The 21,196-nt window shown below is 34.2% G+C and overlaps 1 long non-coding RNA gene across 1 annotated transcript in view, besides 1 other annotated feature; it reads left to right on the plus strand.

Moving 5' to 3' along the window:
- Positions 1-17,118, plus strand: part of LOC105370240 (uncharacterized) — a 59,720-nt gene extending 42,602 nt beyond the window's left edge. The window contains exons 2-3 of the long non-coding RNA XR_942030.1: positions 15,567-15,699; positions 16,829-17,118. This is a non-coding gene — a long non-coding RNA (uncharacterized LOC105370240). The remainder of the gene's footprint in view (positions 1-15,566; positions 15,700-16,828) is intronic.
- Positions 5,853-7,052: an enhancer, noted in NCBI's record as "CDK7 strongly-dependent group 2 enhancer chr13:65360601-65361800 (GRCh37/hg19 assembly coordinates)". NCBI's record gives its function as "activates an origin of replication core promoter dependent on BRD2, BRD4, P300/CBP, MED14 and CDK7 cofactors, with strong dependence on CDK7, by STARR-seq in HCT116 cells {active_cell/tissue: HCT116}" and the evidence as "EXISTENCE:reporter gene assay evidence [ECO:0000049][PMID:35650434]".
- Positions 17,119-21,196: the final 4,078 nt, after the last annotated feature.

A 21,196-nucleotide genomic window follows, 5' to 3' on the forward strand; every position in this document is an offset into this window, starting at 1 on the left:
ATTACACTATTAATTAGCTAATATATTTTCTGTCACTACCTTTGCAGCTTAATCTCTATTAGAGAAAGGGACTATTCTATTATATTGTGGACCACTTTATCCTTAAACATAATCAGTGCTCATAAATGTATGCGAGACAAAGAAAAACTTGAAGGAAGAGAGTAATAAAAGAAAGGAATAATTATTTCAAAAAGAATATTTAATCACATAATTTCATATTTATATTTCTTAATGGCTTTCCATTACTTACAGAATAAAATACAAGAAACCTTAAAGTACTAAAATAAAAAAATACATAATCTTGTTCCTGCCTAACTCCCAAGATTTCTGTCCTACAATTCTGTGATCCATACTCTGAATCAGAGCAGCACTGAACCTCTCAATACAAAAATCACATGTTTTGTTGTATAATATTTCTCTGTCTTTGCTAATGCATTTACCTTTCCCAGTTAATCTGCAGTAATCATTTACCTAATCCTGAGATTTCTTTCCACAGAGAGTATCTCTACTCAAGTTTGTGACTGAGATAGGCGTTCCTTTTATTTGCTTGTCTAATAAAGCCAACCTAGTTTGATAATTGGGTTAGATATTTTTATTATTTTCCAATACATATGGATCTGTTTTACCATAAAGGTGATCAAAATTAGAAATTAAGTTTTATTCCTTGATCTTTTTGTAAATTGATTTGTTCCAATTTTTAAAATAAGATAAAATTTAATATTGGTTATAATCTCAATTTTAGAGATTCTTCTGCAAGCTTGGATAAACATTTATCAAATGTGGTAATTAATTATGAAGGTAATTACATTATTAATTAAGATAAATAATACATTCATGAAATAAAGAAATTCACTATGCCCTTTTGTTGTCAATTCCTCCCAAACCCAGCCCCTAGTAACAACTGATCTGTTTATTTCTCTAGCTTAACTCTTCCAAGAACATAGTATATATCAAATTTAAAAATATGTATCTTTTGAGTCTGGTTTCATTTAACTTTTCATAATGCATTTGTAATTAATCTTTGTTGCAGCATGTATTAAAAGTTTGTTGTTTTTATTGTTGAGTGGTAGTCCATTGTAAGATGTACCCTAGGGTATGCATCCTTTCCTCTGTTAGGGTATTTTTTTATTCTCTAAATTATTAAAAAATAAAATAAAATCTTTATATGCATTCAAGTACTGGGTTTTGTGAGAAAATACCTTTTTTTTTTTTTCCAATTGACAGTGTCTTTTTACATTTCTCAGGCTGGAGTGCAGTGGCCTGATCATACCTCACAAAAACCATAAATTCCTGGGCTCAAGGGATACTCCTGCCTCAGCTTACCAAGTTGCTGGGACTACAGGAGCACAAAACCATGCCTGATTATTATTATTATTATTATTATTATTATTATTATTATTATTTTATCTTTGTGGAGCCAGTGTCTCTCTCTGTTTCCCAGGCTGGTCTCAAATTCCTGGCCTCAAGCAATACTCCTGCCTCAGCCTCCCAAAGTGTTGGGATTACAGGCATGAGCCACCACACCTGGCCTGAGCACACTTTTCCTATTTGCTTGGGAAATACCTGGGAGTTGGTTTACTGGGTTATATTGTAAGTTTTTGTTTTAACTTCAAAATAAACTGAAAAATACATTTGCAAAGTGGCTATACCATTTTGCATCACTATCAACAATATACGATATTACTGGACAGTCCCCTTGTCAGCATTTGCTGTTGTCAGGATTTTTAGCCATTCTATCTGTGTATATATACAGATATGAAATCACAAGTATATCATTGTTAGTTTAATTTCATTAAAAACTAATAGTGGTTATTATTAATGCCACTACTTTGAGATTAGTGGTATTATTAATTTGGGAGGTCGAGGCAGATCACTTTGAGATGCCAAGGCAGGCAGATTGCTTTGAGACCAGAAGTTTGAGACCATTTTGGGCAACATGGCTAAAACCTGTCTCTACAGAAAATAAACAAAATTAGCCAAGCATAGTAGTGCATGCCCGTAGTCTTAGTTACTTGACAGGCTGAGGTGGGAGAATCCCTTGAGCCTGTGAGGTCAAGAGTGCAGTGAGTCGTGATTGCACCACTGCACTCCAGCCCAGGTGACAGAGCAAGTCTTTGTCAAAAAAAAATGAATAATGATAAGCATATGTCTGTATGTACATTTACCATCCATATATCTTAGGTGGAATGAACGTTACAGTATCTTGCCAATTATTAAAAATTGTGTTGTTCATTTTCTTATTATGTATTAGAGTTCTTTCCTTTTAAAGCTAGTCCTTCATCAGAAATGAATTTGAAAATATCTCTCAGTCCTGGATTATATTTTCATCCTTTTAACGGTACTTTTAAGAGAACAGATCTTAATTTTGATAAAGTCCACTAGAGTAAGAAAAAAAAAAAAAAGCTGGTGTGTAATATGGAAGATAAGAAATCTTGGCTCACCCCAGAGTTATAAAGATTTTCTGATATGTTTTTGGCCTTAAGTTCAAAAGTTAATTTTAGAATACTCTAGGAAATTAGAATAGAGTTTTTTTTAATGTATGTATATCCATTTGTTTGAGCACCATCTGTTAAAAAGGCTGTCTGTTCTCCCTTGAATGACCTTTCTCATTTTCTATATAAGTTGACCATATATGCGTGGCTCTATTTCTGAACTCTCTTCTGTTCCATTGATCTATATGTATTCTCTTTATCCAAAACCGTGTTGTCTTGACTAACACAATTTTTTTAGTGCCTGGAAAGCATGAAGCTTGAGTCTTCCAACTTGTTCTGCTTGTTCTTCCTTGGATTCCTCATTCTGTTTTCTTTTTATATAATTTTGAATTAGTTTGTTGATTTATAAAAAACAAATTCTGCTGGGATTTTGATTTGAATTGTGTTAAATCTGTAAGTTAAATTTTAGAGAATGGAAATCTTAACAATATGGAATATTCTACTCCATGAACATGCTATATCTCCCTATTTGTTTAGGTCTTCTGTGATTTCTGTTATCAGTGTTTTGCAGCTTTCAGTGTACAGATAGATAGATGTTTCCTATAGTTTATAGGTTTTATACTTAAATATTTTAGTTTTGATGCTATTAATATGGTACTGTTAAAATTCAACTTTTCTTTTTTTTTACTATTATATTGAAATACTTTTTTTTAAAAAAAAACACTGGCCTTGTGCCTTGCAAGTTTGGTAAATTCATTTCTCAGTTCTATATGATTTTTGTAACTTCTTTTTGTGTTTTTATGTAGACATTTATGAAAAGTGGAAGAAGAGGCAATTTTATTTTTTTCTTTACAATGTATATACTTTTATTTCTATTTCTTATCTTATTACCCTGGCTTTATCTCCAGTAAGATGTAAAATATGAGTGGCGAGAGTAAACACCCTCATCTTTGAAGGGATTATTAGCCCACCAAAGTGCTATGAAAATTACTTCAAAATGAAAATATCTGAACAAACAGCAGCACATGGAAAAAAAAAAGAGTATGTAAATTTAAACAGAACCTCTAAAAAATACAGCTGTATTGGCCCTCCTCTCAGAGAGTTTTCTGATTTGGAAAAGATGGACCCTTAGCATGGGGACGTACAAATTCAGCTGTCTGTTAGCATCAAACAAACCAAGATAACTTTTCAAATTTCCCCAGTGAAACCCTGAACTCTCCTACTCATTTTGCAAACCTTAGAATATCACAAGCCTGTTATTTCTGTGTGTGTGTGTTTTTACCACTTTACACAACACTGTTTCTGCCTATAAGCCAGTGCACACATGAGTAAACCTCATGGTTTAACATAAGCAAGTAAATAAATGTGATACATCACATACACAGAATTAAAAACTAAAATGATATGATTGTCTCACTAGATGTAGAAAAAGCTCTTGACAAAATCCAGTTTCCTTTTATGGTAAAAACTCTGAACAAACTAGGCATAGAAGAAACATACTTCAAAATTAAACAAAAAAGCCATATATAACAAGCTCACAGCCAACATCATACTAAATGGGGAAAAGTTGAAACATTCCCCCTGAGAACTGGAACGAGACAAGGATGCCCACTTTCACCAGTTCTATTCAGCATGTACTGGAAGTCCTCCTAGCTGGGACAATCAGGCAAGAAAATAAAGGGCATCCAACTTGGAAAAGATGTCAAACTATCTGCTGATGATAACATCATATACCTAGAAAACCCCAATGACTCCTCTTTTCAGATTCTAGACTTCATAGATGCATTCAGTAAAGTCTCAGATTACATAATCAATGTGCATAAATCAGTAGCACTGGTAGATACCAACAATGACCAAGCTGAGAAAAAAGTCAAGAATTCAACCCCTTTTACAATAACTGCATTAAAAAAAAAAAACCCTAGAAATATACTTACCAAAGAAGGTGAAAGATCTCTGTAAGGAGAGCTACAAAACACTGCTGAATGAAATCATAGATGACACAAACAAATAGAAATACATTCCATGCTCATGGATTGGAATAATCAATATCTTAAAAAATGACCATACTGCCCAAAGCAATCTACAATGAATCAATGCAATTCTGATAAAAATACTAACATATATTTTTATAGAATTATGGAAACCAATTCTAAAATTCATATGGAACCAAAAAAGAGCCTAAATAGGTAAAGTAATCCTATGCACAAGAAACAAATCTGAAGGCATCATATTACTGGACTTCATATTACCAAAACAGCATGGTATTGGTATAAAAGTAGGTACATAGATCAATGTAACAGAAGACAGAACCCAGAAATAAAGCCAAATACTTACAACCAACTGATATTTGACAAAACATGAAAAAACATAAATTGGGGAAAGGATACTCTATTCAATAAATGGTGCTGGGAAAACTGGCAAGCCAATTGTAGAAGAATGAAACTAGAAACCTATCTCTCACCTTATACAAAATTTAACTGATGATGGATAAAAGACTTACATCTAAGACCTGAAAACATAAAAATTCTAGTAGAAAACCTAGGAAAAACTCTTCTGGACATTGGCTGTGGCAAAGCATTTATGACTAAGACCCCAAAGGCAAACATAATTAAAACAACAATAAATAAATTGGACCTAATTAAACTAAAAAGCTTTTGCATAGCAAAAGAAATAGTCATCAGAGTAAACAGATAACCCACAGAATTGTAGAAAATATTTGCAAACTGTGCATCTGACAAAGGACTAATATCCAGAATCTACAAGGAACTCAAACAAATCAGCAAGAAAAAAAAATAATAATAATCCCATCGAAAAGTGGGCAAATGACATGAGCAGACATTCCTCAAAAGAAGATATACAAATGGCCAAAAAACATTTGAAAAAATGCTCAACATCACAAATTATCAGGGAAATGCAAATTAAAACCACAGTGAGATATCACCTTACTCCTGCAAGGAGGTCCATTATTAAAAAGTCAAAAAACAATAGATGAAATGGATGTAGTAAAAAGGGAATGCTTATACATGGCTGATGGGAATGTAAATTAATACAATCTTTATGAGAAATGGTATGGAGATTTCTTACAGAACTAAAAGTAGATCAACTGTTGATCCAGCAATCCTACTACTGGGTATCTTCCCAAAGGAAAAGAAGTCAGTATATCAAAAAGACACTTGTATGCATGTGTTTATTGCAGCACAATTCACAGTTGCAAACATAATGAAACCAACCCAAGTGTCCATTAACCGATGAGTAAATTAAGAAAGTGTGGGAACTATACAGCATGGAATACTACTGAGCCATTAAAAAGAATGAAATAATTCTTTCGTAACAACTTGGATGAAGCTGGAGGCCATTACTTTAAGTGAAATAACTCAGGAATGGACAACCAAATAGAGAATGTTCTCATGTATAAATGGAAGCTAAGTTACAGGTATGCAAAGCCATGCAGAGTGGTAAAATGGACTTAGGATATTCAGACGCGGGTGGGTGGGGAGGAAGGATACAATACCGAAGCAGGTCATTGTCTGTGGTGAACACCCAGGGTTTGTCCTCTTGCGCCAAGAGGATTAATGACACAGACACACAGGAGGAGTGAGTATAGGAGCTTGGGCACTAATAGGCAAAAGAAAGAGAAAGGAAAGCAGCTCTCTCTCTGCTAGAGAGAGCGGTGTCCGAAAGGGAAAAGCCAGCCTGCGGCAGACTGCACCAAATTTCACAGGCAGGCTTGAGGGGGCGATGTCTGATTTACATAGGGCCCACAGATTTGTTGCTCAGGGGTGACATTTACATAGTACACGGGGAAGGCTGGCCACCCCACCCTAATCTTATTATGCAAATGGGCTTTCCACTTGGTGGCCATGTTGTCTGCTTCTTACCGTACACGTGGCTGACAAAGAGCAGGGAAGATGGAGCCACCATTCTGAACCTGCCCAGTCCCAGGTAGCCTTTTCCTATCAGTACAGCTGCCAGCATTCGCCCACGCAAGCTTCCAGCTTTCTTGTGTATGTTTTCAGTTCGATTTTACAGGCTGCTCTCTGTTAGAAAAGGAAATGATTTGGGGGCTGCTTTTCATTAAAAGGAAAACCCTGCAGAGGACTTCTTTACCCTCACTATCTGCCTACATAATTTCTTTTTAACTCCTATATCAGTACTACATATTGGGTACAATGTGTACTACATAGGTGACGAGCACTAAAATCTGACTTCACCACTATACAATTCATTCATGTAACCAAAAAACACTCATATCCCCAAAGCTATTGAAATTTATTCATAGATAGATATTAAAAACCTGTGTTTTTTTCTGTTAATCTGTATATTGTAATTTCATTTGTAGGCCCCCAAACACTAGACCCAAGTTGTAGGAGTAAAATTTTCCTGTCCTGTTTTGGCAAGGAGGAGGGGATGGTTTATACTCTTAGATTACCCTTAAGACTCCTGCTGAGATGTTGGATACTATGACCAAGCTGGCAAAGGTAAACCTTTTACCAGTCAGACCCCTGAATCTCTGCTCAGGGTCCTGAGCAAAGGCAATAAAAGCCACTCCTATTTTTTTTCAAAGAGTATTTTCTAAAATTTAGATTTAAAGGAGAAAAATTTTGGTTAGAACTAGTTTTTTTGTATACTGTGACTCTTCTTGCAGATAGCCATTATGTATCCATTTGTCACTGTCTCTTGTGCTATAAATTTGTGTTGTGCTGTCTAAACCGTGTTGTTTGTTTCCCAAGAATTTAGCTGTGCAACTCAAAAAGAATGTTTTCTCTGGATTTTGGCCTGCTGGGAGAGAGGTGACAAATTGTCAGGTCTGTGCTCAGACGTGGACAACCATCAGAAGGAAAACATTTTCTTTCATGATGAAGTATGATATTTACTCTCTACTCATTAGCAATATGTAGGAGTGGGCATTCTATTGCCAGTGTACTGAGAGCTTTTAACATGAATGATGTTGACTTTTTTGTCAATTTTTTTCTTCTGCATGTAATAAAATGTTAGCGTAGTATTTCTCATGTGCTCTATTAACATGGTTACTTTCATTGATTTTCTATTGTTGAATCAGTTTTGCATTCCCCAGATAAAACACATTAGCACACAATATACTATTATTTTTAATATTAAAAGCAAATATTAGTGGATTTGCTTTACTAGTTTTTTTTATTTTTTTTTTTTGGATATTTTTCACCTATATCATGAGGTTTACTGCTTGATAGTTTTATTTTCCTACTCTCTTTGTTTGGCTTGGCTATCAGTATAAGTCCAGCACCATAAAATAAACTTGTAAATATTCTTTCCTATTCCACATTCCAGGAAAAATCTATGTTAAATTGGTATTATGTCTTCCTCAAATAATTGGTATAACTAATCTGGATAGCCACCTGGGTAAACAGTTTTCTTTGTTAGAAAATTGTTAGCTACAAATTTAAATCTTAAAAGATATAAAATATTTAGGTTATTTAATTCTTCTGGAGTAGTTTGTACATTTTACGGTATTTGCCCATTTTAGAGAAGTTGTTGGATCTATGAATATAGAGTTGTTTTAATTTTTAAATTAATATTCTTTTCATATATGCATGTTCTGTGATGTCACCTCTTTCATTTTTATTATGTGTATTTTGTGTCTTATCTCTGTAAAATTTTCTTTGTCAATTATGCTAAAACTTCAATTTTGTTATTTTTTTTTTCCAGAAAACCAGAGATTGGTTTTTTTGTTGTTATTTGTTTGTATTTGGTTTTTTGAGGCAGAGTCTCACTCTGTTGCCCAGGCTGGAGTACAGTGACATGAACTGGGCTAACTGCAACCTCCACCTCCCAGGCTCAAGTGATTCTCATGTCTCTCCTTCTCAACTAGCTGGGATTACAGGTGCAGGCCACCATGCCCATCTAATTTTTGTATTTTTAGTAGAGATGGGGTTTTGCCATGTCACCAGGCTGGTCTGGAATTCCTGGCCTCAAGTAATCCACCTGCGTTGGTCTCCTGAAGTGCTGAGATTACAGTTGTGAGCCACCACACCTGGTCCAGAGATTAGTTTTTAAAAATGTCTTTACTTAGTTTTCAAGAATGTTAAGAATTTCTTTAGTAGATCTTTCTGTCTACTTGTTTTTACTTTAACTTGTTATTCTTTTTTGAGTATTAGGTTGCACCTTAAATCTTTCCATCTTCCAAAAGCATATTGTAGTTCCTTGACACTTGATGATTGCTCTTGCTTTGATGCAGAGGGTACAAGAGACTTATTCTTTATTGTTCTTACTCACTGTAAGTCTCAGATAGGCACTGTATCCCCGGCCCTGGATTGTGGTGCCTTCTTTGTGATTCTTTTACTTTTCCACCTGTGTATCTGGTTTCAGGATATATCTCTGCCCCTCTCCTATGAATACACAGGTCTTTTCAATTCCTCCTCTCTTCTTTTTCCTTGAACTGCAATGGGTTTTCACCAATGTCATAAGGGCAAGGGAGTTTCTTGCCCCTTTCTAGCATTTTAAGGCTTTTTTCTATTATGCATGATAGAAATGTTTATGTGGGGCTCAAGCAGCAGCTGCTATTCCTTCCCTAAGGCCCACACAAGAGTGTTGATTTATTAGTGCTATCACCTTCCCCCCCACCTTTTTTTTTTTTTTTTTTTTTGGTGAGGCTCCAAAATGTACAATTTCCAATTTGTATCTGCATCCCCCAGGGATTTGTATTCTCCCACTTGTCCACACTTTTCCTTTTACAAATCGTTCAAATTCTAGCTAAATCATGTATTTTCTCACTACCCAGACATGTCTTCTCTACAGAAGTAACTACTTATAACTGATGCTTTCATGGAAGTACTGTCTTTCATTAAATTTTGGTCAGTTGGTTTACCAGTGATCTACTTCCCTGATGCATTCAAGAGGACTTGTAAATTTGCAGGTTGTCTAGCATTTTTTCATAGGTGTAGAAATGTTCTTTCAATTTTATCAACATTCAAGGTAGAAGTTACACAATACTGATATTTTAAAACACAGGCTCTAGTATACAGCATGTCTTAAGACAGTCTCTCAATAAAGGCTTATTTAATGAATTATTTGTGGTATTTTATATATTATAGATGATTAAATCTTTGGAGTAGTATTCAAATTACATTTATGGATTTAGAGGGCTATGCCATGAAAGACTCCTACAGTAGTTATAAAAATTAATCAGTATGTTTAGGGGAAAATCCAGCAACAGAAACACAGTTACTGTGGTTTGACTATTTTATTAATGATGAGTGTTTAGGAATATTTAGCAGGACTGATGGTGAAGCAAAATGGTGTTTTCAATTCTGGAGGTTTGGCTGATGAACTGCTTCCTAGAGGTATGCTACAAGAAACAAATGTGTTCTGAATGTAAAATGACACACTAATCCCTGGATGGGAGTATTAAAAAAGTTCGTTGGAAACTACTTTGATCATCTTCTACTCAAATATATTTTTATCAGGTTTTTTGATTCCACTGTGCCAGGCTCCTGACCTCAATTAACATTTCAACCATAGTCATTATTGATTATTTGCATATTTTCATTTAAGATTTATTTATATAATGATATTGATAGTAATAATAGTTATGTATATAACATTTTTCTTGTGAGAGACACAGTTTAAAGTATAATACGTATATTTTTAATACTTAAAATGCCCTAGGGATTAAGTATTGTTATCCATAATCTATGGATGAAGAAACTGAGGGAGAGAGAAGCTGAATAACTTGTCCAAGTTCACAGATTGTAAGAGTTACAACATAGTTTGACCTATTAAGAAATGTTTGAAAATAATGGCCAGATATTGTGGTATTTCTCCAAGTAAGAATCTATCATTTATTTGCAAGTGCAGAGTGGAGAATAGCTGTTTCACAGACATATATAGCAGGCTATTAAAGGTCATGAGGTAGGAAGAACTGATCAAAGACTAAGTCTCTATGCTCAGTAAAACCCAGTTTTTCATGGAGGGTGTATTAGTCCATTCTCACACTGCTGTAAAGAAGTACCTGAGACAGAGTAATTTATGAAGAAAGAGGTTTAATTGACTCACAGTTCCACAGGCTGTACAGTTCCACAGGCTGTACAGGAAACACGGCTGGGAAGCCTCAGGAAACTTACAGTCACGGTGCAAATTGAAGGCGAAGCAAGCACATGGCCATAGGAGAGAGAGTGAGTGAAGGGGGAGGTGATACATGCTTTCAAAAATCAGATCATGTGAACTCTATCATGAGATCAGCAAGGGGGAAGTCCAGTTAACTCCCACCAGGCCCCTCCTCCAACACTAGGGATTATAATTCAACATGATATTTGGGTGGGGACACAGAAGCAAACCATATCAGAGAGGATTCCTCTGGACCCAGGGTGGACTTACGTATGAATTTCAAGGGGTATTTGATGGGGTGAAATAGCACCATCGAGATGAGTAATAAAACTCAGATGTGAAAAAGGAAGTATCCCAGTGTCTTCTCAAAACTACTCATGCCCATCAACTTCACAGATAAAAGAAGATTTGGTCCTCTGGGCCTAAATTAGATACGCGCCTGTGGGCCCAAGTCAGATATGACTCAGGAGGATAGAACAGACTGTTGTAGACTATAGTCACAATAAGTGTAGGACAAAAATGGATCATTCTTAGGCATTGATACACATGAGGAGTGGCAAGCTGAGAGAAGAAGTTTGAATATAGCTAAATAAATATGAACTTTACTAAAAACACTTATTACAAAAGACTGAATATATAAGAAATTACTGGAAAAAAATTAAAACAATGCTCAGAGTCCATAAATTACCTTCTATAAAATATAGAAATGATGATGTTTTACCTCCTGAGGTTTGTGATTCTTAGTATTATGCTACATCATACCTGGTAAATATGTTAAATTTTTTAAAAAGTTCATAGACGAAGTCAAATCTTCATAAAAAGTAAGGGAAGTATAAATAGAACAAAGTACCTAACATACTGGTTCCCATTCTCTCCTCACATCCACTGAAAGCACAGCTACCAGCTACTTTAGCGTCAACACTAATTTCTGGTAACTACTGACAACTGTAACCTAATATGATTGGCCAAAAACGTGTATTTTTCCTTTTTGCTTTACTCCACCTATAAGCTTCACTTTAGCAAAAATATATTAAAAAACTGTTTTTACTGGATTTTTCTAGTTCCCATGATTAGAGTCAACATTTTGATGACTGATCACCTGATCACCATCTCTAAAGCTACTATTCTCTTATGAAACCTGAGTTTCCCTCATCAATTCTTACTTAGTTCTAGAGATTTCTAACTTCACTTTGTTTTCTCTGTAGCCTGAACTTCTTGACAAATTGCTTCAAATGTACTCTCAACCCCAACCTTAATTCCTTTAGCTTTATCATCCTTCCACAGCATGTCTTGTTAAAACTCTTCACACGGTGAATCTAAACATCTGCTTTCTCCATTCCTACCCTCAAGCCCCTGAAACATGTTGGAAAAAATTACATAACTGGTCTGACTAGTGCCAAAGAATAGTCGTCGTTTCAAATTCCAAACTCATGGGAACTTCAACAGTGCTCAACAGTGGTATTATTTACCTCAACTTAGTCTTCTTTCAGTGAAGTGGTTGCTGTGAAGTGCCTTATCTTCATTCTGTCTAAATTAATTGCCTACATTCCAATAGATAGTTTACTTCATAATGCATATGGAAAATAAAACCACTTAAGTGTGGCTTCTCTTAATACCTCCATCATGCCCTGGGTCACCTTCCTGAATGTTTAATTCCCAATTTCCCCCAAGTTGCTGTATTTTATACAGAATTTTAATGTACTTATTTTATTTCTGAATCCTTCTTTTTCTTTATATATTTACCTAAGGTCTCCCCTTCATCAACAAACATCTTGAAGGGATAGTCCATGCTCACTGAAAATAGTTTCTTAATTTATGTACATTCTCTGCCTATGAAGACCACAATAAATCCTATGGAAAATGTTGTTAAAAAGTAATCAACAGCCTCATCTGTCTGGTATTAATATCTTAATCTTGAATCAGATGTGTATAGAATTGTAACATTTTATTTTTCTCATAGTTAAAATCAAATATTTTGCCATCTCATTCCCTGTCCTACATAGATTATACTCTTACATTCTACAAACAGCTCACCCTGGTAGATTTTATTTTCTTTAGTTTACCAAAGAGAAAATTAAGGTCAAACCCTGTCCAAGTCTCTCCAGAACCAGAGCTTCTTACACCACACTACACTACCCCTACTACCCGCATGCTAAGATCATTTCTGTATGACCACTGAAACAAGAAGCAGAACCTGGCCTTTATTCGACCTCGGCTAGGTATGTGCACATTACACAACTCAAATTTATTGCTACTTGAGTATCTGTGAATTGATCACAAAATTTCAGCCAGTATTCACTTGGGAAAACAAATTTTAGCCAGTAGGCAAATTTGCAAATGCAGATCATGTATAATGAAGACCCACTCTATACATCTTATGTCAGACACACATGTGAGTGCTTGCTTATATGTGCAGCAGGTCCTCAAATAATGTCATTTTCTTTCATTATGATTTGATGAAAAGGAAAAAAAATCACTTTCCAGCCAGGGCCATTGTCTATGTGGAATTTGCACATTCTCTCCATGTCCTCGTTTATTTTATCCAGGTATTCTGATTTCCTCTCACATCCCCAAGATGTGCATGTTAGGTTAATTGGTGTTTCCACAGTGTCTCAGGATGAAAGAGAGTGTGTGTGTGTGTGTCCACGTGTGTGTGTCCTCCACGTGTGTGTGTCCACATGTGTGTCCCCTGAGATGGAATGGTGTCCTGTCCAGGGCTGATGCACATCTACTGTCCTGAGCTGCCTAGATAGACTATGGCCAATTGCAACCCTGAAATGGAATAATTGGGTGAATAATTATCTTACTTGTTTTTATTAATCTTTCTTAAATTTATGTATAGCTCACATTTATTTCAATGGTTAATATTAGAAGTGTTTTGATCTTTATTTAGAAGTTTGGTGATGTTATTGTAACCAGAAATATACTGTAGGAAATTAACTCCTGTTTATATAAATTAGCTTATAGTAAAATTTGTTTTGTTATACATCATTGTTCTTAAAGTTGCAGTGTCTAGGAACCTATGGATGACATTAAGTAGGACTTACTGTATATACTCTTCTACAAGACCTCCTTTTAGGTTATAGGCACACACACACACAAACACACACATATACACATTTGTAAATGTGTGTATATGGGATATATGTACCTTTATCCATGTAGAAATATATGCATTTGGAAAATGTATATTCCAAATCAGGATTCAGCAAATTAGCCACTCTTTTCAAAGCTCTCTCCAATTCCACTCTCCTTGTGAATATTTGTTCCCTTCCTGGCCTCCATGTTCTGCTGATAACCTCCCTGAGAGAACAGTTTAATAATAATCACTTTCTGGCCGACTATGGTGGAGCATGAGCAGATTATCATATTTTTCTTTCTACGGAAAACCTGCAAAACTACTGGGCCCGTTGCTTGTCTAACTCATAGGTGTTATCCTCACATGTACAGGTATCAGCATAATTTTGGGGGGCAGTAAGTTAAGTTGTTCTGTGGGCTCTGCATATTCGCAAGTGTCCTCCTTTCACGTATGATCCTATGAATGAAAATGATGTCTTGCCTCTTCTTTCCAAATCAGATCCATACCATAAGTGTCATCTGCTGAAGTGGGGGTGGTCACTTTGGTTTCAGGGGAGGGCACTTGTCAGGGCTGACAAGCTACCCATGTACACTTCCGCCATTTGTAATTTCTTCTTGATCCACAGAAAACATCTGGATTTGTGCCACACCAAGTTTCTCTGTACATAAAACTGGGTGTGATATTTTCCCTCTCTTAAGTCACTATACTTGTCTTTTCACACTGTTGTTCTTTCACGAGGTAAAGAAAATAGAAGATGCCCATGGGCTCCACCTCTCTGCAAATTCACCACAAAGGACACGTGTCATCCTTGTGTTCCAAATCTCCCCTTATACTAGTGGTCAGGTCATTTACTCCATCTATTCTCTTTATTTTTGGACATTGCCATAATGTAAGCTCTGACCATTTCATATAATCCATTGAAATGATTTTTCTAACTGACAACTCTGCCTATGGTTCTTCAATTCATATTTCATACTGCTGTCATCATGTTTCAAAATACACATTCAAAGTTGCAATGCAGTTATTTAAAAGTTTTAGTAGTAATCATCATCACAATATATCTCATATGTTTGAGTAATTACAGAATGACAGCCAATGTTCTGTCACTGATGATGGGTTGTCTATGAACCTCTATTTTTATATGACATAATCTAAAGTTTCTAGAACAGCAAAAAACATATCCCATTTTACTTTTTCTTACAATTTTTGAATTTCCACACAAAATTACACTCCAGCTATCTATGGTTATTTGTTCTTCTGAGAATGATGCCATGCTGTTTGTATCATTTCTTTTGCACTCTAGAATATTCCACTTCTGCTTGGAAAACTGCTTTCTTCCAAGGTATATTTGCAATACATCCTTCTATGTGAAACTTTTCCCAATCCACTAGCTCCATTATTTGCTCTTTCTCTTATGATGCAAGATGACCATGTACATAAGGAAGAAACTTGTTCTTGACTTACTGGTTTATGGAACGGACTCAATTTTATCCTTATGAATCTACCTGCCATATTTTCAATTTTGATAGCAACATGATAGTTAAAAAGTGAGTACAGGAGTGAGCACTTTAAGCAAAATCAACCAAGAACATGCCCTAGAACCATGTGAAGGACTCTCCAATCTCCTCTCAGAACTGTGAAAGAGAGAGAGAGAGACTTATGGAGATTTTTTGTATGAATGAATACATGCTGGGAGTCTTAACTCTTTCCTTCAAAGTGGGTAAGGGATGAGCTCTCCTAGACATTAACTTCACATCAAGTTTAAGGACTATCAGCTTCATGCTTGGAGAGCTTCATATGTGTTACCCAATAAAGGAATACTGTTGACTGGTGTCTGACACATGCAAGAGAAAGCTAAAAAACTGTGGGAGAAAATATTTTTTGAGACAGAATAGAGCACCGTCATTGAAAAATAGCTACATGAATAAAAATAATGAACTAATGAATTAATGATTCAGTTTTATCTATTACAGGGCAGTTGCACAACCTGGAGGCTGGCATCATGGGGTCATTTAGGATTGAATCTGAAGGAGCCGCTGTGGTGGAAATGAAATCCCTGCACAAAAGAAGCTGGGGCTGAACTATCATATTCTCCTGGAAGTAGTGGTAGGAAAGAGATATTTATTTTCGGGACCCAGTACCTCTGAACACTTATTTTAGCTGTTTACTGCAGCTATGCTTTCTTGAAAGAGATATGCAGGAAGGATGGAAAAGTGTCTATTAGCCTTTTAATTTTCTCTTCTGAGAAATTCCAAAAACTGTTTTTTTTTTTCAACTAATCTATGCAATTAGCATCGTTCACTTAGCTTCTCAGCTTACTTAGTGGACTTTTTCACTACAAAAATAATCATATCAAAATTTAATTTATGAACAATAATTTGCTCCATTTAAGTGTACAGTTCTGAATTTTCACAAATGTTTACACCCATGTAACAATTGTCATGTTCAAAATAGAAGGAGACTATTTACATCACCCCCACCCCTGCCCCGCAACAAAATCTCTATGCTCCTTCTCTGTCTATTCTTCCTTCCCAGAACATCTTAGCAAATGCTGATAATGATTTCTATCACTATGGATAAAATTAGTCTTTTCCTGAGTTTTCATAGGTTTTTCTTGTCTGTTTCTTCCCCTGAAAGTTTGCATTTATATCTATGTTTTCTATTTTTTATTACATTTTAAAAAATATTTAATGTATACTCAGTTTAAGAATTAATTATTGAAATTTATTCCTTCTTCCCAAACAGTAAAGTAACATAAAATCATTTAGCTCTGCACACAGTATTTCAAATGTAGATAATATTAGGTCAAGCATTTTTTTTTTTTTTTTTGGTAAGTCTTACTATTTTAAACCTCCTTCTTAGTATTGTTATTGTTGTTATTTTATATTTAGTCACTGATAGAATTTCTAAATATTTTTCATCTTGCTTTTTTTCATTATTTCTTGCCTTGCAGACCTTCTTTCTGGGCTCAAAGCCTTCCTACCTAAATCACAACTTTTAGAATTTCTTTTAGTAGAGGCCTTTTGATTAAAAAGAAATTTTTTTTGAAAATGTTTTTATTTTATCACTGCTTTTAACAGATAGTTGAGCATGGCATATGATTTGTGATTGACAGTTACTTTCCTTGAAAATTGAAAACATTTTTCTATTGTCTAATAGCCTCTATTTTTATGGTAAAATACCTCTCAATAAAATCATCATTTCTCCATAGAAAAACTTTTCTTTGCTCCCTCAGGTGCTTTTATAATCTTTGGCCTGCAATGTTATTTGAAGTGTGAATGTCTTCTAATTTTTCTGACTCAATGTCATTGGCTTTCCTGAGTATGAAGATTAAGGTTTATCACCAGTTTGAAGAAATGCTTAGTGATTTTTAAAAATCTACCCAGGTATATCATAGATCTTGTAGCCTATGTGTCTCATAAAAATCCCTTTTCTTTATTTATCTCCCTTGCATTCTGAATAATTTTGTCAATTCTACTTACTAGTCCATTATTATTTTATTCCTTGGTGTCAAATATAATGTTCTACCCATGATATGCATCTTTAATTTCAATACTATATTTCTGGAAGTTCTATTTAATTCTGTTTTGAGACCTCTAGCTAAGTTTTAATACCTGTTTATTTTTCACTTATTTTTATTTCTTTAAATATATTTAAACATATTAAACATGTAATATTCTGATATCACGTGATATTTGGATTCTGATTATTTTAACACTAAAAATATATGGGCTATGATTGCACTCTTTCTTGTCTTGCTTCCCTGTGAATTCTTCTTTTTAATTTTGTCTTGCAATTCATTTTGCTTGAAATATTATCTGAGTTGAAGGTGCATACCATTAGAGAGAGTCTCATTTGTTTCAGCCACGTACTGTAGATTACTGAAACTCTATAAAATTTCAGCTTGAAGTTATTTAAATCACATTGAAAGTGTCAATGTAGACTTCAAAAATGCTTGAGGACTGGCATGTGATTATGATTTTCAGATTTTTTTTCCCTATGATCAAGCAACAAAATTGAAACTCACAGGTTCTTCCCATCCAGGTCATTCTATAGTTCATTTGGTCCCAGATTTACATAGGAGATTTCTTTAGATTGCCCAAGCAGTAGGTACTGTCCTTTACCCCTGCATTTTGTTGGTCAAAATGGAATCTCAGGAGCACCAGGGCTGGTGCATACCTCCAGGGTCAACATGGGTTTACATTTTGTTTGCCTCTCTACACTAACACATTTATTCATATTAGACTCTGGGGTTTTCTTGCTTTCTTATTTTCTTCGTGTTTTAGTTAAAAATATATTTTATCATACATTTTACCACCTATTTTTAGTTATTTAGTAAAAGGCATACTTAAGGGGCCTGATAGAAGATAAGTGCAGCAGTAATTCCTTGCATACACAACAATGACTTGCAAAAAAATTTTTAAAGTTTTTAAATACTCAATTCTCCAGTGTTCACACAAAAAACTCAGCCAAAATACTATTTTTCATTGAATTTGTTTGCAGGCCTTATGTTGCCTCATTAAATTTAGAAGGAAAAAAATCCGAAACAACATTTAAATCTTTTGAATGTTCTAGGCTGATAGGCACGTTTCTTTCTCAGAAGACGTGATCTTTTGTAAATGATTAAAAAAAGAAAAAAGTGGTCCTTCTTTGTGGATGTGGCACCACATAATTTCACAAGCTACTAACCCCTTTGGCTGGACATCTTTGTGCAGGCACAACTTGTACAAATTGTTCCTGCTCTTTTCTCCTTGAATGATTCGGTGCAGGCAAAAGATACCTGTGCATATATCATAGCTCATTGGATAAAATCCTTGAATTTTTCTGAATTAAAAGTTGATACCTACACAAAATATAATACATGTTTAATACTGAAGCATACTCACAGTAATTGAGAAACCTATATATCCTAATTTTTAATTCAAGAGACTCTATATTTTTAGTGAATTACTGACCATAATAAATAATTCAGAGGTTATCTTATAGTTACTTGTGTTCACATATAAAAACACTAAAAATAAATCTCAGATTAAGATATTATGTGGACATGTCAAATTTGTTTCATTGCAATTAGGAATAAAATAGCTAATTACATATTACATCATATGTATGACTGGTATTATATTTCTTTTTTTTGGTGATATCTTAGCATCATATCTACTTTTTCTGATAATATTTACTATTATCATGTAATGTGACATATTACATAATATGACATATTAGTTGTGTCATATCAGACAGATGTCATGAATTTTTCCTGTCGATAAAGCAAAGCTTTTAATTGTAACCTGATATTGTTATTTCACAAGTAAGTTAAATATCAAATTTAAATAATCTATGGCAGTGCAGTACATAGAAAGAATTCAGTTCAATTTTTTTCTTTTTTCATTTTTATGTATGTTGCCATCTTGCATTCCAGTGAAGAGGAAATAATTATTTTAATGTACCCTGATTGTAATTATTTCTTCTAATGTGGGCTGTATTTTTTAGGCACACATTTTGTTTCTACATTAGAAAAAATAAGGTAAATGTCTAAGGAATTCACCCTAGGCATTTATAACTGCATCTAAGAGTATGCTATCTGTCTCCTAAAGTCTAGACCATTCTCCATGCAGAAAATCCGTGACCAGAAGCCAAAACTCACTTCTTGGCAGATACCCTCTGGGATATGGTTAGTACTGAACAAAGCAGAAATAATAGTTTTTGGAACAAGAAGGTAAAGCAGAGTTGGTCTCCTAAGCCTATGGAAAAGTAGGTTAATGCAAAGGGAAGAATCCATTTCATTGTTATGAGTAGAATCATAAATAGCTGAAATTAATAGGTAATTCTGGCAGCAAGGATCAACTGGGTTAGTTGTTACTCATCTTTGAGTTCTGGACATCACTTGGGATTAAAGGTTTTTATTATATTATCTGAAATTAGTTCAAGATAGTTATGAAAATCCTGTAGTCTATTTAAAAAATTATAGTTACCTGTGGTTTCATCAGACTTGACTTTATTTTAGGTGCATAGTGTGTGTACACGTATTAAATGCATATAATTCATATAATTCATTTCACTTTCTCAACTGGAAAGCCTTTATTTTACTAAAAAGAAATTAAAATGTATGTTGAATTTTTACTGTAACATTTGAAAGCTGCTGTCCAAGATGTTATTGTGCCAAATTATACCTACTTGGTTGAGCTTGAATATAATCCTTAGCATATTAATTTTGTAATCTATTTGTAAACAAATGATTGGAGTAGATTGCAGAAAAATGTAAAAATAACTTTACATTGGGGTGAATATGTGCATATGATGTGCATGTAATTCAACACATCATGCTGCACATGATAAATACATGCATTTTTATCTGCCAATTCAAATAAATTTTAACAAAATAAAAAATATAAAAATAAAATTACTTTGAATCACTACAATCTATCAGTATATAGACTAACATCAATATTTGGGACCTGCTTTATTAAGATGAAATTTTTATGCAAATTCTTACAAGAATAGACTATGTTTGCAGCTGTTAAAATGAATACATAAGAAACAACAAGACAGGCTGTCTCAGTAGCAGCTACTCCAGTCTGTACAAGAGACATGGAAGAGAACAAGTAGATGTCTGTTTTCTTGCTGCCTGGAATAGAATGAGCTGCTAAGGAGATTATGGCCTTAGGCTTGTCTATATGTATGCCACTTAATTGGAAAGTGAAATATGTGAATTTCTCTAAGTTGACAAAGAATTCCAGATGATAGTATTATAGTTGAACTTGCACCTTTGCTCCATAATTTATCTTTAAAGATTATTTGATTTAATTGGTTTTATCTCTTAAAGTCTTCTCTTGATACAATCTGAATATTAATTTAGTAAAAATTTTATAATGGACCAACTTATAACTAAATCTGCATATCTAGCCTCTCCAGAGCTTCTTATTTTCCATATAGCTTTAAAAATATTAAAGTACAGATTGTTCTTAAAACATATCAATGTTATGTTAAAATTATTTAAGCATATACATTAGTTGAATCACAATAAAATAAATTGGTATCTCCATAACATGTTAATACTGTAAAACAACACACAGAAATTTAGAGCTGTAATTTTTAGCAAAAAGTATCAGACAACAATATGAGGGAAAAGCAATGACAAACATCATCTATCTATGAATAGTATTATCACTGAAGTCAGTTTACAAGTGCACACAAACACATTACTTTCTCAATGATTATATGGTATGATTACTAACAGTGGTACATCTATTTCTCATATACTCATGTATACATACACTTCATTAAAATTCAACCCTGTATTAAAGAAAAGCAGAATAGATAACTAAAGATTTAGATAATGTCATGGTAGAAATAGAATGAGGAATAACATGAATCTGTTCACCAAATTCACCCTAAGTTCTATCAAAGCAGAAATGTTGCCCTGGACCTAAACACAGACACAGACAGATACTTACACATACAAGCACATACCAACTCATGCACGCACATTTGCACATCTTATTATTATTTTTTCAACAATTTGATTTCATATACAAGAATGCTAATTTTCTTTTTACATTGAACATAGGTAAATAATGTAATTGCAATCTAATTCTATCTATTC

This window comes from Homo sapiens, chromosome 13, assembly GCF_000001405.40.
Source record: "Homo sapiens chromosome 13, GRCh38.p14 Primary Assembly".
NCBI lineage: Eukaryota > Metazoa > Chordata > Mammalia > Primates > Hominidae > Homo > Homo sapiens.